This window comes from Homo sapiens, chromosome 10 (genome assembly GCF_000001405.40).
Source record: "Homo sapiens chromosome 10, GRCh38.p14 Primary Assembly".
Lineage (NCBI taxonomy): Eukaryota > Metazoa > Chordata > Mammalia > Primates > Hominidae > Homo > Homo sapiens.
Window position 1 is genome coordinate 31,096,650 of NC_000010.11, and position 18,422 is coordinate 31,115,071.

The 18,422-nt window shown below is 43.5% G+C and overlaps 1 long non-coding RNA gene across 3 annotated transcripts in view, besides 2 other annotated features; it reads left to right on the forward strand.

Annotated features, from left to right (window-relative positions):
* Nucleotides 1–18,422, forward strand: part of LOC105376481 (uncharacterized) — a 123,422-nt gene that overhangs the window by 64,142 nt on the left and 40,858 nt on the right. For 2 of the 3 annotated variants that reach the window (XR_001747409.3, XR_930796.3), the window contains exons 2-3: nucleotides 9,290–9,476; nucleotides 16,422–16,911. This is a non-coding gene — a long non-coding RNA (uncharacterized LOC105376481). Of the gene's footprint in view, nucleotides 1–9,289; nucleotides 9,477–16,421; nucleotides 16,912–18,422 lie in introns of those variants that run through there. The other variant, XR_001747410.3, reaches the window with a different exon arrangement.
* Nucleotides 4,688–4,747: an enhancer, noted in NCBI's record as "active region_3233". NCBI's record gives its function as "activates an Ori minimal core promoter by ATAC-STARR-seq in GM12878 lymphoblastoid cells {active_cell/tissue: GM12878}" and the evidence as "EXISTENCE:reporter gene assay evidence [ECO:0000049][PMID:35858748]".
* Nucleotides 8,343–8,462: an enhancer, noted in NCBI's record as "active region_3234". NCBI's record gives its function as "activates an Ori minimal core promoter by ATAC-STARR-seq in GM12878 lymphoblastoid cells {active_cell/tissue: GM12878}" and the evidence as "EXISTENCE:reporter gene assay evidence [ECO:0000049][PMID:35858748]".

An 18,422-nucleotide genomic window follows, 5' to 3' on the forward strand; every position in this document is an offset into this window, starting at 1 on the left:
AACTCACCTTTTAGTTTACTCTCAACTACCACCTGCCTATGGTTTTCAACACGACTCAGCATTCTGAACCAATTGTAGTTTTTTAATTTTTTAAAAAAACATGGAAAACCAAACATCGTATGTTCTCACTCGTAAGAGGGAGCTAAGCTATGAGGATGCAAAGGCATAAGGATGGCACAACTGGCTTTGGGGACTCAGGGGGAAAGGGTGGGAAGGGGGTGAGGGATAAAAGACTACCAGTTGGGTACAGTGTGTACTGCTTGGGTGATGGGTGCACCAAAATCTCACAAATCACCACTAAAGAACTTACTCATGTAACCAAACACTACCTGTTCCCCAATAACCTATGGAAATAATAATTTTTTAAAAAAATCTGTTTTAAACACACAGATGTCCGAGCTTTATCCTGTCTGGATAGGATTCAGTTGTTTAATTTTAAATTCTACCAGTAATTCTGATGCCCTAGCCAGGGCTGAGAACCACAGGCTCATGGGGATCCAGGCTAGCCCTATCACTCCTGCACTTATCCCAAACCTAAGTTTCTTATCTTCCATGCACAGGCCTGGGTCCATGGGAAATGGTGCTTTAAGATTCTATTGGCAGAGATGTGCCCACTGCCATAGCTTCTCCTTCCTTACCTTTCCAGAAAAAGCTGGAGACCCAAATAGCATCTCTCCGCCTCCACCCTACCTCCTCTTGCTCTAATTAATTGTGATGATGAGCTGGAATGAGAGCTACCTGAAGTGAAATGTTGGCTCTGTCTCTCGGCATCTAATGTCTGATATAATCACAATATATAGTATAATGGCTAATGAAACACTGAGCAAAATGTATTACACTAAAAGATATAAGCATGCATTTAAAGTAAGTGTCTGGGATTCATTTTGCTGAATTCCAGTTCTAAACTCAGCATTAAAAGTACGCGTGGTTTTATTTTATTTATTTCGTTCCAGGTAATGGCTGCATTAGCAAGACATGGATACTTTTATTTGTACAAATCTGTTGCTCTTGGGTGAAAATACTTTATTATTTTCAATTGTTTCTCTCAAACTTACCTTGTCATTGGGATGCATAATTTTTGCAGAGTTAATTCTTATCAGCTCAATTTTACAGCAGGGGTTTTTGAGGCATTATAAACTCGCTCTCCCCAACTCTGGAGTTCATTCTGAATTAAATAAATCTTTGTCTACCTTTTCTATTAAAATATTCTCGGGTTGGTACAGGTAAGACCATCAGAGTGATTGCTGACATCTGGAATGTTGTTGTTCTTTTCATTTACCCTAAGTTTTTCAGCACGTTCAGACAGTAATATTTCCCAGCTGGTAAGAGACCCAGCTTCTGAAAGAGGAAAACGCAAGAAACACAGCCTAGCTCCCCAGCTGCATGTTATTACGTTATTCCCAATTCAGAGGAAATGAACAATCATTTAGTCTTGACAGATACATCTAGAAACTCACTGTCTTCCTTTTCAACCTGAAAATAAAAAACCAGGGTCCACAGAAGTTAAGCATTTGTCTTAAAGTAAGTTTCATGCCTTTCTGCCAGTGGTATGGGGATCTCTTGTGAAAGCTTTTGAAAACTCCCTGGGAAAATGCTGCCAACAGGCTTAGAAACCTGGGAGAAAACAAAACAAAAACATAATCCAAAATACTTTCTGCTCATGAAGATATGTAACTTAGTCGTCCCTTGTGAGCTGGTGAAGGTTAGACATATGTGATGGCATTTGGGGTGTAACCCAAAGGGCCTTTTAAGCAGACTATTCGACTTAACACAAAAGCAAAGTTGTCAGCAGTGAATTCCCTTCCAAATCAGCTTCGGAATGAACTAAAAGCAATGCTAGGGAGGCTTTTTTCTTATCCCCATTATCCTGATGGATTTGTCCCTCCATTGAAAATATTTCCATTTTCTAATGATCGCCATTCTAACTGGCGTGAGATGGTAACTCATTGTGGTTTTGATTTGCTTTTCTCTAATGACCAGTGATGATGAGCTTTTTTTATATGTTTGTTAGCCACATACATGTCTTCTTTTGAGAAGTGTCTGTTCATATCCTTCACCCACTTTTTGATGGGATTGTTTTTTTCTTGTAAATTTGTTTAAGTTCCTTGTAGGTTCTGGATATTAGACTTTTGTCCGATGGATAGATTGCAAAAATTTTCTCCCATTCTGTAGGTTGCCTGTTGACTCTGATGGTAGTTTCTTTTGCTGTGCAGAAGCTCTTTAGTTTAATTAGATCCCATTTGTCAATTCTGGCTTTTGTTGCAATTGCTTTTGGTATTTTAGTCATGAAGTCTTTGCCCATGCTTATGTCCTGAATGGTATGGTACATGTATACCTATGCAACAAACATGCACATTCAGCACATGTATCCCAGAACTTAAAGTAAAATAAAAAAAAGAAAATATTTCCATTTTCTGAACATAGTTTTCCAAAGTAGAAATGCAATCAATACAAAGTAATACTCCCATTTGCCTTTCAATTTACAATTCACAAACCACTTCCAGGGACATAACTCTACTTATTCCTCACCGCTGTCCCATAACAGAGGCTGAACTCCATTTCACCAGTGACGAAATTGGGACAGGACGTGGGGAGGCCACTCAGACCGCCTGGAGTCTCAGTTCATAAGTGGGAACGCCCGGACAGACAGACAGCTGCGTCTCCTGACTCCCGGGCCAGTGCTGTTTAGTCTATCTAGCTGAGGATTTTAAAACATTTACTTCCGCTTAACTCACTTTGTCCCCTATTATGGTCCGTGTGTGTGTCAGTCAGTCTTTATCTCTGGACCTGAATCAAAGCTACCCCTTCTCCCACCTCCTCCTGTTTCAGAGGGGAAAAAATTAAAGCCTAAATATTGAACACATGTGCTTCTCATCTGGGCAGCTTAGCAGGATGGGGGAAATCCTCATTGTTGTTGGTCCTGCCTCCCGATGTCTCAGTGTGCCCTTACACCTGGTGCCCCACTACTACCACAGTCTGAGCCCACCGCACTCAAAGTCAACCTTCCATGGCGTGCCTTCACTCCCATCTTCTTAGCTTCTCAGTGTCTCAGTGGCTCGCTTTACTGGCCTGTGAAAAATCAACTTGGGTTTCCATTTAGGATAGATTAGAAGGTGTGCAGGGAGAGACTAGTAGACACCTTTGCGTAAAGACCTGACATCTTCCGCCGTCTCTCCGACTGCACTGCTGTGGGCAGCCGTGACTCATGGTGAGGTCATGCATTCCCAGGCGAAGTTTATAGGTAACCAGGAGGCTGAGCGATTTGCAGGTGCTCTCCATGCTGATCATTCTAACTCTAACTCACCTCCACGTTGCACTGGCATCTTTTGAAGTAGAACTTCATGGGGTGAACAGGAAGACTACAACATTTTTATTATAGTTGGCTTCCTTTGCTGAATTAGCGTTTATACTTTCCCAGTAGAAATCCCCAAATTGAAAATATAGAGGTGTCAGCTAGCACCACTTTAGTTAAGGTTGTGTCAACATTTCCTATAAACCTTGTTTTTCTAGGGTTTATAACTAGACCATAAAAATTTGCTCAGCTCTGAAACTTGGCACAGTAAGTAAACCTGGGAGTGAATTTTGCAGAAATTGAGGAGGGAAAAATAAGTTCAGCTGTTTTTAACATGTGCCTCTGCTAAAATGGAAATGATTTTAAGATTCATTTTCTTTTTGTGTGACTCAAATGGAGATTCAGCTTAAAAAAATAGTGAACTCAAGCAATTATTTCATTGATACATGCTAATTGCACTTGTTAATTTTTAGAGAAAATGTTAATGATTGACATATTTGACTCAAAGCCATTGACTGTGCATCCACAGGTACCAGTTTTTGCAAAGCAGTTAGTTAGCTGTGCATAACAATGTGATTTGGCAAATAATCTGCCCACATTTTAGTGCCGTAAACTAATGCTTTGAAGGAATCCTTCTGATAAAAGGTTAACAGGCTGCTTCAAAATACTAAGTCACTCAGGATCACAACCCTCTGTTCATCTTGGTCTAATCTGCAGCTCACATTTAACAGACGATTCCCAAAAGCAGCTCCTGTGATGTTTGTATGAAAGAAATGCCCAATCTCTCTGACCGTCTACCTTTTCTGGAGGATGTGGTAGGTGCTGCACAGCCCAGCAGCTCACCTATTCCTTTTGTACCACTGGCAAGATATTGGGATGTTGGGTGCAATTAGTCAACATGGATGCTTGTAACGCCCTGGCCGGCGTTTGCCAGTCTCGGGCCATGAACTCCGGGATGATGGCAGGCACCAGTGACAGGAGCATTATGGAAGAGAAGAAAAAAGTGCTGGACTTGAATGGATTTTGCCAACAACCTTGGGCGAGTCAGTCCACCTATCTGGGGACAATGATACTCTGCTAACCTAATAGGGTTATTGAGAGAATCAACTGAAGTCATTATGCATATCAAAGCACTTTCTAAACTGTAAGGTGCCATCCAAATGAAAGGTGGTGGTACCTGGCTCAGCATCGGCTTTTCTTTGTAGACACCTACTGAGTGTTGTTAGTAAGGTCATGGTAGCAACGTGTACCCCTTCAGCTGACTCAAGGGGAAAGGCCCTGGGCTTCCCAGCACTTCAAGCCACAACCGTGTGACTCAACCCAGCTTTGTTTTTTCTAACTGCAGTTTCCTGCTTCCACTTCTCTGCTTACCTCTTGCTGGTCACTGACCACTTTTGGAATGAAGAATGTGCTGGACTCTTGGTGGCTCATTTCCCATGGACATGAACACAGCCCCAGAGGCCACCTTGGTTGTTTGATGTCACCGTTCTGCCCCTGCTCCCAGCTGTCCCCATCCTGCAACACATCAGGTCCTTTTGCTAGTTGCAGGGTTTCAGTTTTGGGTGCCTTTAGGTTTTCTCTGAGATTGTTTCCCGCTACACCCCAGGGCTTCTTTCCTTGTTTCCTTATGTTGCACATCTTGGGCATAAGTGAGCTGGATTTATTATGAGAAATTTTCTGGCAGGAATCTCTCTCTCTTTTTTTTTGACAGTCTTGCTCTGTCACCCAGGCTGGAGTGCAGTAGCACAATCTCAGCCATTGCAGCCTCCTCCTCCCAGGTTCAAGCGATTCTCCTGCCTTAGCCTCAGCCTCCCAAGTAGCTGGGATTACAGGCATGTGCCACCACGCCCGGCCAATTTTTGTATTTTTAGTAGAGATGGGGTTTCACCATGTTGGCCAGGCTGGTCTCAAACTCCTAACTTCAGGTGATCCGCCCACCTCGGCCTTTCAAAGTGTTGGGATTACAGGCGTGAGCCACTGTGCCTGGCCAGCAGGAATATCTCTGAAAAGCCATCAGTGCCGTCAGTCCTGAGCAGGCGTAGCTTCGTGGGCATGTGACCTATGCAGTCACACATGCCCTGGGCTCGGGAGGGCCCTGCACTTGGTTTAATGCCCTGCTTTTGTCATCTTAAAATTCGCAATCACTTTTAGACAAGGAGCGCCATATTTTCATTTTGCACTGGGCCCTACAGATTATGTAACTGGTTTGGCACCCTGTGCCCTGACTCTTCCTAGAGAGCCCCGAAGACCTTAACCTGGGGTATCCTAGGGTTCCTTGCTGAGTGCTAGGCCCATCTTGAGCAGGATGGGCAAGACTTGAGGTCACCTATCGTGGGCAGTGCAGGGGTTCAGCATGAGCCTTGCTACCCCCGAACCCTGGCTTATGTTTTCCCGCCAGTCCTGAAGCCCTCACTCCACCCCAACCCACCCCATCCCTGCAGCCTATAGGAGTGGCGTTCTGCCTCCGATTTGCTGAAACAACTCTCTGCTGGCTTAGCTGGAGCCAGACTCCCTGTCTACCATTTCCAGCCCCTCTCCCAGAAGCCCAGACACTGATGTGGGCATTTGTAGTTCCCATCAGGGTCTTGTTCCAACATGAATGGAACACTGGATATCTTGGAGCAGCCACAGTCTGGAACTGAGAACCGTCATTTCTGCATCCAGCCTGCTGGAACAAATACCTCCAAGTCAAACGTTTACTCAACCAGTGCTACCTGGCATGGGGGATGTTTCTGTAAGCAAGACAAAGATGTTTCTGTCCCTGGGGAATTCACATTCTAGTGGAAGAAGACAGACAATGAATATAATAAATGAGTAAATTTGGAAGTTAAAAAATGAATGACACTGTGAAAAAATAGGCAACAGGGTGATGGAGACCAGGAGGGCTGGGGGGCATTTTGCCTTAAGAAGAGGAAATATGGCCAGGCGTCATTGTGCTTACCTGTAATCCCAGCACTTTGGGAGGCCGTGCTCAGAAGTTCAAGACCAGCCTCGACAACATAGCAAGACCCCATCTCTACAAAAATTAAAAAAGTACCCAGGGGTGGTGGTGCATGTCTGTAGTCTCAGCTACACGGGAGGCTGAGGCGGGAGAATGGCTTGAGCCCAGGAGTGTGAGGCTGCAGTGAGCTATGATTGCACCACTGCACTCCAGCCTGGGTGATACAGCAAGACCCTGTCTCTTAAAAAAATAAATAAAAATAGAATACAGGGGGAAATATGATCCAAGATGTGAAGGAGTTGAGGACAAGAGACCTGTGTGTTTCCAGGGAAAAAGCATTCTTGACAGAGTGCAGCTAGTGCAGGGCCCTCATGGGAACGAGGCTGGCTGTGGAGGAGCAGGCAGGAGGCAGTAGTAGCAGCAGATGCAAGGAGGCAGCTGGAGATGGGGCCCCAGACACAGGCCGGGGGAAGGTGAAGCCTGCAGGGCCTGAGAGGGACTTGGGCTTTCATGGAGTGAGCCAGGAGCCATCAGATCTATCAGTTTGGAGAAAAGGAGTGACACCATCTGTTTAAAAGGATTCCTGTGGCTGACGTGTGCCCTGGAGAAGCACAAGGGTGGAAGCAGAACCATCAGAAAGCTGCTCAATAACCCGGAGAAAAAGGCTCATTCTTGTGGGGTTACGCCGGAGTTTCTGCTCTGCTTTGAAAGCAGTTATCCAGGCTGTTGACTGCCCCCTTGTCACACTTAGGCGGCCTCTGAGCTGGGTCTCCTCTGGCTCCCGGCCCTATCTCACCTCTTCCTACTTCTTTCTCCCAGCCTCACGGTGTGGATACCTCTGCAGCATTTGCAGCAAAGTCCACCCAAGCAAGAGCACAATGCTAAGGCCAGGCAGGGTGTCTCCTTGACTAGAGATTTTTTTTTGTAAATAAAAACTTAGGCCAGGCCGTGTGAAGGGCTCGTACCTATAATCCCAGCACTTTGGGAGGCCAAGGTGGGAAGACTGCTTGAGGCCAGGAGTTCAATGCCAGCCTGGGGAACATAGGGAGACCCCATTTCTACAAAAAATAAAGTAAAATAAAATTAGCTATACATGGTGGCACATACCTGTAGTCCTAGCTACTTGGGAGGCCAAGGAAGGAGGATAGCTTGAGTCTGGGAGTTAGGGGCTGCAGTGAGCCATGATTGCACCACTGCACTACTCTAGCCTGGGTGACAGAGTGAGACCTTGTCTTTAAAAGAAAAAAGAAAAAAAATCAACACTGTAGAAAGGTTTAGAAAAAAAAGAAAAAGAAAAAAATTAGGCCAGATTTCCACCTGTGGATTGTTTACATCCACAGCTGGGGGAGGGTTCCATGCCTTATGCCTCCTTAAGGCCCCTCCAGGCCTGTAATGCTTTCTCCAGCCCCTCACTCTCCGCTGCGGTATGTGGACTATTTGGCTCCCCGATAAGCACGAGTTCAAATGAGTCCCCGTGGACGTTAACCCAAGTCAGTAAAACACCTTTGCAGGCAGTAAAAGACGTATCCCTCTGAGGTCAGAAAGCTCTCTTGGCAAGAAAGCCAAATGAATGGTTTCTTAAAGGGCAAGAAGAACTCTGCTCTCGATGCCATGCCCCAGCCCACTAGGCACACCTGGCCCACAGGTAGGTTGCAGGTAAGCAGAAAGGCCAGTGTTGTAAAGAAGGCCTGCCTGTCTTCCTTTTGTTCACCTCCAACATCACCTTTTTTTCCTTCCAATATGTCATTGCACTTGTTAATGGAAATGAAACATTTCACACCAACCCAGATTGGGTCTGGGATCAAGTAAGAAACATTGTGGAAGTAGCCAGTCTCAGTGGCTCACGCCTGTAATTCCACTGCTTTGTGAGGCTGAGGCTGGAAGATCACTTGAGGCCAGGAGTTGGAGACACACTGGGTAATATAGTGAGATCCCATTTCTAAAAATGCTGTTTTTTTTTTAATTAGCTGGGCATGGTAGCATGCACCTGTAGTCTGAGCTACTTAAGAGGCTTAAGTGGGAGGATTGCTTGAGCCTTGGAGTTTGAGGTTACAGCGAGCTATGAGTGTACCTCTGCACTCAAGCCTGGGTGACAGAGCGAGACACTGTTTCAAAAAAAAAAAAAAGACATTGTGAAAGTGCTCTGTAAATATGAAAGCACTCTCCAAAGTTAAGATAGTATCATTATCTGGGAAGACAGTCTCCAGCATTCTCCTTTAGTGTTTAGAAATACTGTGTTGAAGGCCGGGATATTCCTGCTAGCCAGGCACAGTGGCTCACGCCTGTAATCCCAGCACTTTGGGAGGCCGAGGCAGGCGGATCACGAGGTCAGGAGTTCGAGACCAGTGTGGCCAACATGCTGAAATCTGTCTCTACTAAAAATACAAAAAAAAAATTAGGTGGCATGGTGTCACGCACCTGTAATCCCAGCTACTCAGGAGGCTGAGGCTGGAGAATCACTTGAACCCGGGAGGTGGAGGTTGCAGTGAGCCAAGATCGCGCCACTACAATCCAGCCTGGGCGACAGAGCAAGACTCCATCTCAAATAAAAAAAAAAAAAAGAAAGAAACAAAAAAGAAAATCCTCTGTGCGTTGAAAAGTATCACTGCCAAGCAGTGTCTGTCACCTGCTTCCAGGGTTGATCCATCTGTAAATGCAACCACAACCTGAAACTCACCAGTGCTTTTCCTCTGGAAATTACAAAATGCAAATGTAGGTTCCATAGAGATATTTAGGGAGCTATCTTCTGATCTCATGGTTTTATTTGTTTGTTTAGAATAACAAGAAAGCCACATTGCTGGATCATCCTGCCCTTCTAGGTCTTTCAGTAATCTTAAATGAGAAACCCTGTCACAGGTCACTGCAGTGATTTGCAATCATGAATAGGAGCTAATGAATTCCATAGATTAGCAGCAAGTGGGAGAAGGGAGGAAAAACCCCTCTAGTTAAAACCTGAATCAACAATGTTACAAAATGCCTGCTATGTGAGGTTTGAGGGGGTTTGGTTGCATTATAATGGCTGGCCCACTAATTAGTGTATTTAAAACATTTTATAGGAGCAGTTGATTTCTCACCGCCCACCCCCGACCCCACCACTATTGATCATGAGGTGCTTTGAGGGGTCCGGGTTTGGAGGACTGAAACACCGTGGGATCTTGGAACAGCTCTTCCTTGTTGGTGATCCCTTATTAAGAAGCCCTCCAGCCTGACAATGCTGAAGCCCTGGAGGTTGGAGCCACTCAGGTAGGTACCAGCCACCTTGCTGTAAAAACCCTAGCGCTATAAGGTGGCCACGTCTTATGAACAGATTAGGAGGCCTGCAGGCTCTCAAAATACCAAGAGGTGAAAAACAGGAGTGTTGAAGGAAGCATTGGCCATGCAGCCCCATAGCCCTGGGCTCAGCCCTAGCTCTAGCACATTCTTTTTTTTTTTTTTTTTAGTTTATAATTGGGGCAAGCCAGTAGCTTTAATGAACATTTTCTTTTTTTTTTAATTTTTTTAAATTTTATTATTATTATACTTTAAGTTTTAGGGTACATGTGGACAATGTGCAGGTTAGTTACGTATGTATACATGTGCCATGCTGGTGTGCTGCACCCATTAACTCGTCATTTAGCATTAGGTATATCTCCTAATGCTATCCCTCCCTGCTCCCCCCACCCCACAACAGTCCCCAGAGTGTGATGTTCCCCTTCCTGTGTCCATGTGTTCTCATTGTTCAATTCCCACCTATGAGTGAGAACATGTGGTGTTTGGTTTTTTGTCCTTGCGATAGTTTACTGAGAATGATGATTTCCAATTTCATCCATGTCCCTACAAACGACATGAACTCATCAATTTTATGACTGCATAGTATTCCATGGTGTATACGTGCCACATTTTCTTAATGCAGTCTATCATTGTTGGACATTTGGGTTGGTTCCAAGTCTTTGCTATTGAGAATAGTGCCGCAATAAACATATGTGTGCATGTGTCTTTATAGCAGCATGATTTATAGTCCTTTGGGTATATACCCAGTAATGGAATGGCTAGGTCAAATGGTATTTCTAGTTCTAGATCCCTGAGGAATCGCCACATTGACTTCCACAATGGTTGAACTAGTTTACAGTCCCACCAACAGTATAAAAGTGTTCCTATTTCTCCACATCCTCTCCAGCACCTGTTGTTTCCTGACTTTTTAATGATTGCCATTCTAACTGGTGTGAGATGGTATCTCATTGTGGTTTTGATTTGCATTTCTCTGATGGCCAGTGATGGTGAGCATTTTTTCATGTGTCTGTTGGCTGCATAAATGTCTTCTTTTGAGAAGTGTCTGTTCATGTCCTTTGCCCACTTTTTGATGGAGTTGTTTGTTTTTTTCTTGTAAATTTGTTTGAGTTCATTGTAGATTCTGGATATTAGCCCTTTGTCAGATGAGTAGGTTGTGAAAATTGTCTCCCATTTTGTAGGTTGCCTGTTCACTCTGATGGTAGTTTCTTTTGCTGTGCAGAAGCTCTTTAGTTTAATTAGATCCCATTTGTCAATTTTGGCTTTTGTTGCCATTGCTTTTGGTGTTTTAGACATGAAGTCCTTGCCCATGCCTATGTCCTGAATGGTAATGCCTAGGTTTTCTTCTAGGGTTTTTATGGTTTTAGGTCTAAAGTTTAAATCTTTAATCCATCTTGAATTGATTTTTGTATAAGGTGTAAGGAAGGGATCCAGTTTCAGCTTTCTACATAAGGCTAGCCAGTTTTCCCAGCACCATTTATTAAATAGGGAATCCTTTCCCCATTGCTTGTTTTTCTCAGGTTTGTCAAAGATCAGATAGTTGTAGATAGGCAGCGTTATTTCTGAGGGCTCTGTTCAGTTCCATTGATCTATATCTCTGTTTTGGTACCAGTACCATGCTGTTTTGGTTACTGTAGCCTTGTAGTATAGTTTGAAGTCAGGTAGCGTGATGCCTCCAGCTTTGTTCTTTTGGCTTAGGATTGACTTGGCGATGCAGGCTCTTTTTTGGTGCCATATGAACTTTAAAGTAGTTTTTTCCAATTCTGTGAAGAAAGTCATTGGTAGCTTGATGGGGATGGCATTGAATCTGTAAATTACCTTGGGCAGTATGGCCATTTTCATGATATTGATTCTTCCTACCCATGAGTATGGAATGTTCTTCCATTTGTTTGTATCCTCTTTTATTTCATTGAGCAGTGGTTTGTAGTTCTCCTTGAAGAGGTCCTTCACGTCCCTTGTAAGTTGGATTCCTAGGTATTTTATTCTCTTTGAAGCAATTGTGAATGGGGGTTCACTCATGATTTGGCTCTCTGTTTGTCTGTTACTGGCGTATAAGAATGCTTGTGATTTTTGCACATTGATTTTGTATCCTGAGACTTTGCTGAAGTTGCTTATCAGCTTAAGGAGATTTTGGGCTGAGACAATGGGGTTTTCTAGATATACAATCATGTCATCTGCAAACAGAGACAATTTGACTTCCTCATTTCCTAATTGAATACCCTTTATTTCCTTCTCCTGCCTAATTGCCCTGACCAGAACTTCCAACACTATGTTGAATAGGAGTGGTGAGAGAGAGCATCCCTATCTTGTGCCAGTTTTCAAAGGGAATGCTTCCAGTTTTTGCCCATTCAGTATGATATTGGTTGTGGGTTTGTCATAGATAGCTCTTATTATTTTGAGATATGTCCCATCAATACCTAATTTATTGAGAGTTTTTAGCATGAAGGTTTGTTGAATTTTGTCAAAGGCCTTTTCTGCATCTATTGAGATAATCATGTGGTTTTTGTCTTTGGTTCTGTTTATATGCTGGATTACATTTATTGATTTGCATATATTGAACCAGCCTTGCATCCCAGGGATGAAGCCCACTTGATCATGGTGGATAAGCTTTTTGATGTGCTGCTGGATTCAGTTTGCCAATATTTTATTGAGGATTTTTGCATCAATGTTCATCAAGGATATTGGTCTAAAATTCTCTTTTTTGGTTGTGTCTCTGCCCGGCTTTAGTATCAGGATAATGCTGGCCTCATAAAATGAGTTAGGGAGGATTCCCTCTTTTTCTATTGATTGGAATAGTTTCAGAAGGAATGGTACCTGTTCCTCCTTGTACCTCTGTTAGAATTTGGCTGTGAATCCATCTGGTCCTGGACTCTTTTTGGTTGGTAAGCTATTGATTATTGCCACTGTTTCAGAGCCTGTTATTGGTCTATTCAGAGATTCAACTTGTTCCTGGTTTAGTCTTGGGAGGGTGTATGTGTCGAGGAATTTATCCATTTCTTCTAGATTTTCTAGTTTATTTGCGGAGAGGTGTTTGTAGTATTCTCTGATGGTAGTTTGTATTTCTGTGGGATCGGTGGTGATATCCCCTTTATCATTTTTTATTGCATCTATTTGATTCTTCTCTCTTTTCTTCTTTATTAGTCTTGCTAGCGGTCTATCAATTGTGTTGATCCTTTCAAAAAGCTCCTGGATTCATTAATTTTTTGAAGGGTTTTTTGTGTCTCTATTTCCTTCAGTTCTGCTCTGATTTTAGTTATTTCTTGCCTTCTGCTAGCTTTCGAATGTGTTTGCTCTTGCTTTTCTAGTTCTTTTAATTGTGATGTTAGGGTGTCAATTTTGGATCTTTCCTGCTTTCTCTTGTGGGCATTTAGTGCTATAAATTTCCCTCTACACACTGCTTTGAATGCGTCCCAGAGATTCTGGTATGTTGTGTCTTTGTTCTCGTTGGTTTCAAAGAACATCTTTATTTCTGCCTTCATTTCGTTATGTACCCAGTAGTCATTCAGGAGCAGGTTGTTCAGTTTCCATGTAGTTGAGCGGTTTTGAATGAGTTTCTTAATCCTGAGTTCTAGTTTGATTGCACTGTGGTCTGAGAGACAGTTTGTTATAATGTCTGATCTTTTACCTTTGCTGAGGAGAGCTTTACTTCCAAGTATGTGGTCAATTTTGGAATAGGTGTGGTGTGGTGCTGAAAAAAATGTATATTCTGTTGATTTGGGGTGGAGAGTTCTGTAGATGTCTATTAGGTCTGCTTGGTGCAGAGCTGAGTTCAATTCTTGGGTATCCTTGTTAACTTTGTGTCTCATTGATCTATCTAATGCTGACAGTGGGGTGTTAAAGTCTCCCATTATTATTGTGTGGGAGTCTAAGTCTCTTTGTAGGTCACTCAGGACTTGCTTTATGCATCTGGGTGCTCCTGTATTGGGTGCATATATATTTAGGATAGTTAGCTCTTCTTGTTGAATTGATCCCTTTACCATTATGTAATGGCCTTCTTTGTCTCTTTTGATCTTTGTTGGTTTAAAGTCTGTTTTGTCAGAGACTAGGATTGCAACCCCTGCCTTTTTTTGTTTTCCATTTGCTTGGTAGATCTTCCTCCATCCGTTTATTTTGAGCCTATGTGTGTCTCTGCACGTGAGATGGGTTTCCTGAATACAGCACACTGATGGGTCTTGACTCTTTATCCAATTTGCCAGTCTGTGTCTTTTAATTGGAGCATTTAGTCCACTTACATTTAAAGTTAATATTGTTATGTGTGAATTTGATCCTGTCATTATGACGTTAGCTGGTTGTTTTGCTCGTTAGTTGATGCAGTTTCTTCCTAGCCTCGATGGTCTTTACAATTTGGCATGATTTTGCAGTGGCTGGTACCGGTTGTTCCTTTCCATGTTTAGCGCTTCCTTCAGGAGCTCTTTTAGTGCAGGCCTGGTGGTGACAAAATCTCTCAGCATTTGCTTGTCTGTAAAGGATTTTATTTCTCCTTCACTTATGAAGGTTAGTTTGGCTGGATATGAAATTCTGGGTTGAAAATTCTTTTCTTTAAGAATGTTGAATATTGGCCCCCACTCTCTTCTGGCTTATAGAGTTTCTGCTGAGAGATCCGCTGTTAGTGTGATGGGCTTCCCTTTGAGGGTAACCCGACCTTTCTCTCTGGCTGCCCTTAACATTTTTTCGTTAATTTCAACTTTGGTGAATCTGACAATTATGTGTCTTGGAGTTGCTCTTCTCGAGGAGTATCTTTGTGGCGTTCTCTGTATTTCCTGAATCTGAATGTTGGCCTGCCTTGCTAGATTGGGGAAGTTCTCCTGGATAATATCCTGCAGAGTGTTTTCCAACTTGGTTCCATTCTCCCTGTCACTTTCAGGTACACCAATCAGACGTAGATTTAGTCTTTTCACATAGTCTCATATTTCTTGGAGGCTTTGTTCGTTTCTTTTTATTCTTTTTTCTCTAAACTTCCCTTCTCACTTCATTTCATTCATTTCATCTTCCATCACTGATACCCTTTCTTCCAGTTGATCGCATCGGCTCCTGAGGCTTCTGCATTCTTTACGTAGTTCTCAAGCCTTGGCTTTCAGCTCCATCAGCTCCTTTAAGCACTTCTCTGTATTGGTTATTCTAGTTATACATTCGTCTAAATTTTTTTCAAAGTTTTCAACTTCTTTGCCTTTGGTTTGAATTTCCTCCTGTAGCTTGGAGTAGTTTGATCGTCTGAAGCCTTCTTCTCTCAACTCGTCAAAGTCATTCTCCGTCCAGCTTTGTTCCATTGCTGGTGAGGAGCTGCGTTCCTTTGGAGGAGGAGAGGCGCTCTGCTTTTTAGAGTTTCCAGTTTTTCTGCTCTGTTTTTTCCCCATCTTTGTGGTTTTATCTACTTTTGGTCTTTGATGATGGTGATGTATAGATGGGTTTTTGGTGTGGATGTCCTTTCCATTTGTTAGTTTTCCTTCTAACAGACAGGACCCTCAGCTGCAGGTGTGTTGGAGTTTTCTAGAGGTCCACTCCAGACCCTGTTTGCCTGGGTACCAGCAGCGGTGGCTGCAGAACAGTGGATTTTCGTGAACCGCGAATGCTGCTGTCTGATCGTTCCTCTGGAAGTTTTGTCTCAGAGGAGTACCCGGCTGTGTGAGGTGTCAGTCTGCCCCTACTGGGGGGTGCCTCCCAGTTAGGCTGCTTGGGGGTCAGGGGTCAGGGACCCACTTGAGGAGGCAGTCTGCCCGTTCTCAGATCTTCAGCTGTGTGCTGGGAGAACCACTGCTCTCTTCAAAACTGTCAGACAGGGACATTTAAGTCTGCAGAGGTTACTGCTGTCTTTTTGTTGGTCTGTGCCCTGCCGCCAGAGGTGGAGCCTACAGAGGCAGCTCTAGCACATTCTATACAGCTTTCACTTGATTGTTCAGAGCCCCCGATTCCAATGGGTCATGGTGAGCTTTGGACTGGAGGCTATGTGCAACAGCTTCAGGCATGTATTAGTCCATTCTCACATTGCTATAAATACCTGGAACTGGGTAATTGATAAAGAACAGAGGTTTCATTGGCTCATGGTTCTGCATGAGCAGAACCTAAGCTAGACACTAAGCTTTCTCCTACAAAATTGACATGAAGCATGACAGGAAGCATGAGGCTGGCATCTGCTTGGCTTCTGGGGAGGCCTCAGGAAGCTTATAGTTGTAGTGGAGGGTGAAGAGAAAGCAGGCATCTCACATGGCCAGAGCAGGAATAAGAGAGTTAGTGGGGAGGTACTACACACTTTTAAATGACCAGATCTCACAAGAACTCACTATCACAAGGACAGCACCAAGAGGATGGTGCTAAACTATTCATGAGAAATCCACCCCATGATTTAATCACTCCCCACCAGACCCCACCTCCAACACTGGAGGTTACAATTCAACATGAGATTTGGGTGGAAGCACAGATCCATATCAAGGCACATGCACAAATACCATGTATCAAGTACTTACCTTACCTTGTGTCAGGCACTGTGCTAGTCACTTTTACATGGGATAGTTTATTAAAGACCCCGTAACTACAAGTGAGATGCTAATCCTACCTTCACGTGTCAGAAGAACCTGCATTTAGGACAGCTTAAATTGTCCTCACTTATACACTACATCCCTAGTCCACCAAGGTCATGTTCTTGTTTAAGGAAAATATATTCCTTCAGGTAAGAATGTCCAAGTATTCTTGGGAATGTCTGTGTCTTCCTCAGTGGCCACATAGCCATAAAAGGACTTCTTCTGCCCATGGAATTTAGGAAGAATTCATCTCTTAGGTACGTAAAATTGTATACTTGCTCTGGAAATGAAGAAAGGGTCTCTTAGCTAATAATTAGCTTATTACAAGGTAAGTACTTTACAGATATTATACATTGATCTTCAAAACAAATCTACAAGACAGCCTGTTATTATCTTCATTTTACAGAAGAGGAAACCAGAGCACAGAAAGGTTAAGTGAAATGCCCGAAGTCACACAACTGATAAATGGTCAAATTGGGATCCAAGCCCAGGCAGCTCTGAGTCATTGACATTACTCTGTCCTAGAAGGCACTCGACAGAAAGGGGGTTTGTGCTTCCTCCATCCCACCCAGCTTCTGAATGGTCCAGGCCCCTGACTGCATTGCCACGAAAAGGCCTCAGAAAAATGTCTGTGCATGCATCAAGACTGCAAGCCAGATCCAAAATGTATCAGGTCTCCTTTATGGGGAATAGTGAGAAGCAAATGGAAATAGATTGTCTTCCTGCTTGGGACTGTTAACACAGCAGCCAAACTGAACTGAAAATATTTTATTTTATTTTATGAGAATTTTAATGAGAATATTTTATTCTCATTATACTTTGCTAGAAGTTGCCTTCTAGAGGGATTTCTTTGGGCTTTTATTTTGAATTCTAATAAAGAATACCTTGACTACAAATTTGGCCTTGAGATGTCATTTAATGAGGAGTCAAGATTTTAGTTTCTGGTAGAAAACTGGACACTAAGCTTTCTCCTACGAAATTGACATTCTTTGTGCCAACCTTTTAACACTCTCCAAGGGTACCTTCTAGTGGCTTAATAAAATCATCGCTATGATGATGTACTACATACTTATGGAAAGCAAGGTTATTTTATTAAGAGACATTATGCTTTGTATAGGGAGTTAGATGGTGCAAGTAATTTAAGATAACAAAGGTCCTCATTTTGTCCCAGAATTGGCTTTTCTTGCTGATTCAGCTTTGGAACCTGTGCCTGTTGAACAAAGAAGGAAGGCAGAGAGCATTTTAACGTCACCTGGTGTCTAGGTGCCTCTGAAGTCAATGGGAGCGCTGTCTGCAGAGATGCTGCGGCACCATTATGGTGTTAATGGTACTATATTCTTTGGCCATTAGTGTGCACTGCTCAAATCTCTGCAAAATGCTAATAACTGCAGCTCTCTGGGGTTCTCCAAGTAATGGGCCTGTGAAAATTCATGTCCAGCCTCCAAATCAAGTTACTCCAGGACCTCTGTTGCAAGTGTATTTCCCCTAATGCTCCCCTACCTCTCTTATGTGTCAGGAGTTTCTCAGAAAAAGAACTGATTCTGAGGATAGAAGCAAAGAGGGGTAGGGGGGTTGCTTTCTGGGAAGATCCTGCTTGGCTATGAAAACATCATCTTGGGATGTGGCCACATCAGAGCTGGGGGCTGCAGCCACTCTGGGGCCACTGATGAGTATTGAGCCTGGGAGAGGCAGGCAAGAGAATGTGGTTCAGTTATTGGAGGTCAAAGTTAGAAGGGGTAAGACAGCAACCCGTTTTCAGAGATCTGGCCAACAGTAGATCAGGAACTAGAGACTGACTACTTGTAAGATGATTCCACAGTGAGAAGCTGCACAAGGTGACCTTGAGATTTAGCATTCTACTGTCCATCCTTTTGTTAAGTCTCTTGCTCAGAGGTATAAGCCAGCTTCTCTGCTGGTTCCTAACTAGGTCTATCAAATGCCTTGCAATGTGTCCCCACTTCCTGGGATATGGCCTAGCTCATGGAAGCCTCTTAAAGAAGCATCCCTGGTAGCCCAGAAATGCCTGCAAGGTTTTACTTAGCTGGAGGATCACAGGCCTGGTAAGAAGCTAGGAGAGAAAATGGGCCCTTCCCTCTCCCTTTCAAGGTTGGAGCTAACCTCAGGACCAGCCAGCACCAAGAGAACAGGTAATGGCAGGTAAATCAGGCCTGTCTGGAAGATAGCTTCCTTTTCCCCAGGGTTTTTCACCAAGAGTTTCTGGGGCCCTGAATTTTCAGGTTCAGGTCCGTCTAGCTCCTGAAATAATTCTGGCCAGGTTTGATAGGAACCTTAGCCTGCTGGTAGACAGGCCTGGAGTTGGGGCTGCTGTCGTAGGCTGGTATTCTTAGGCTGTTCTTGGCTTCCCTGGGCTTTGTCAAAATGGATTCCAGTGCCTTTAACTTTTTGT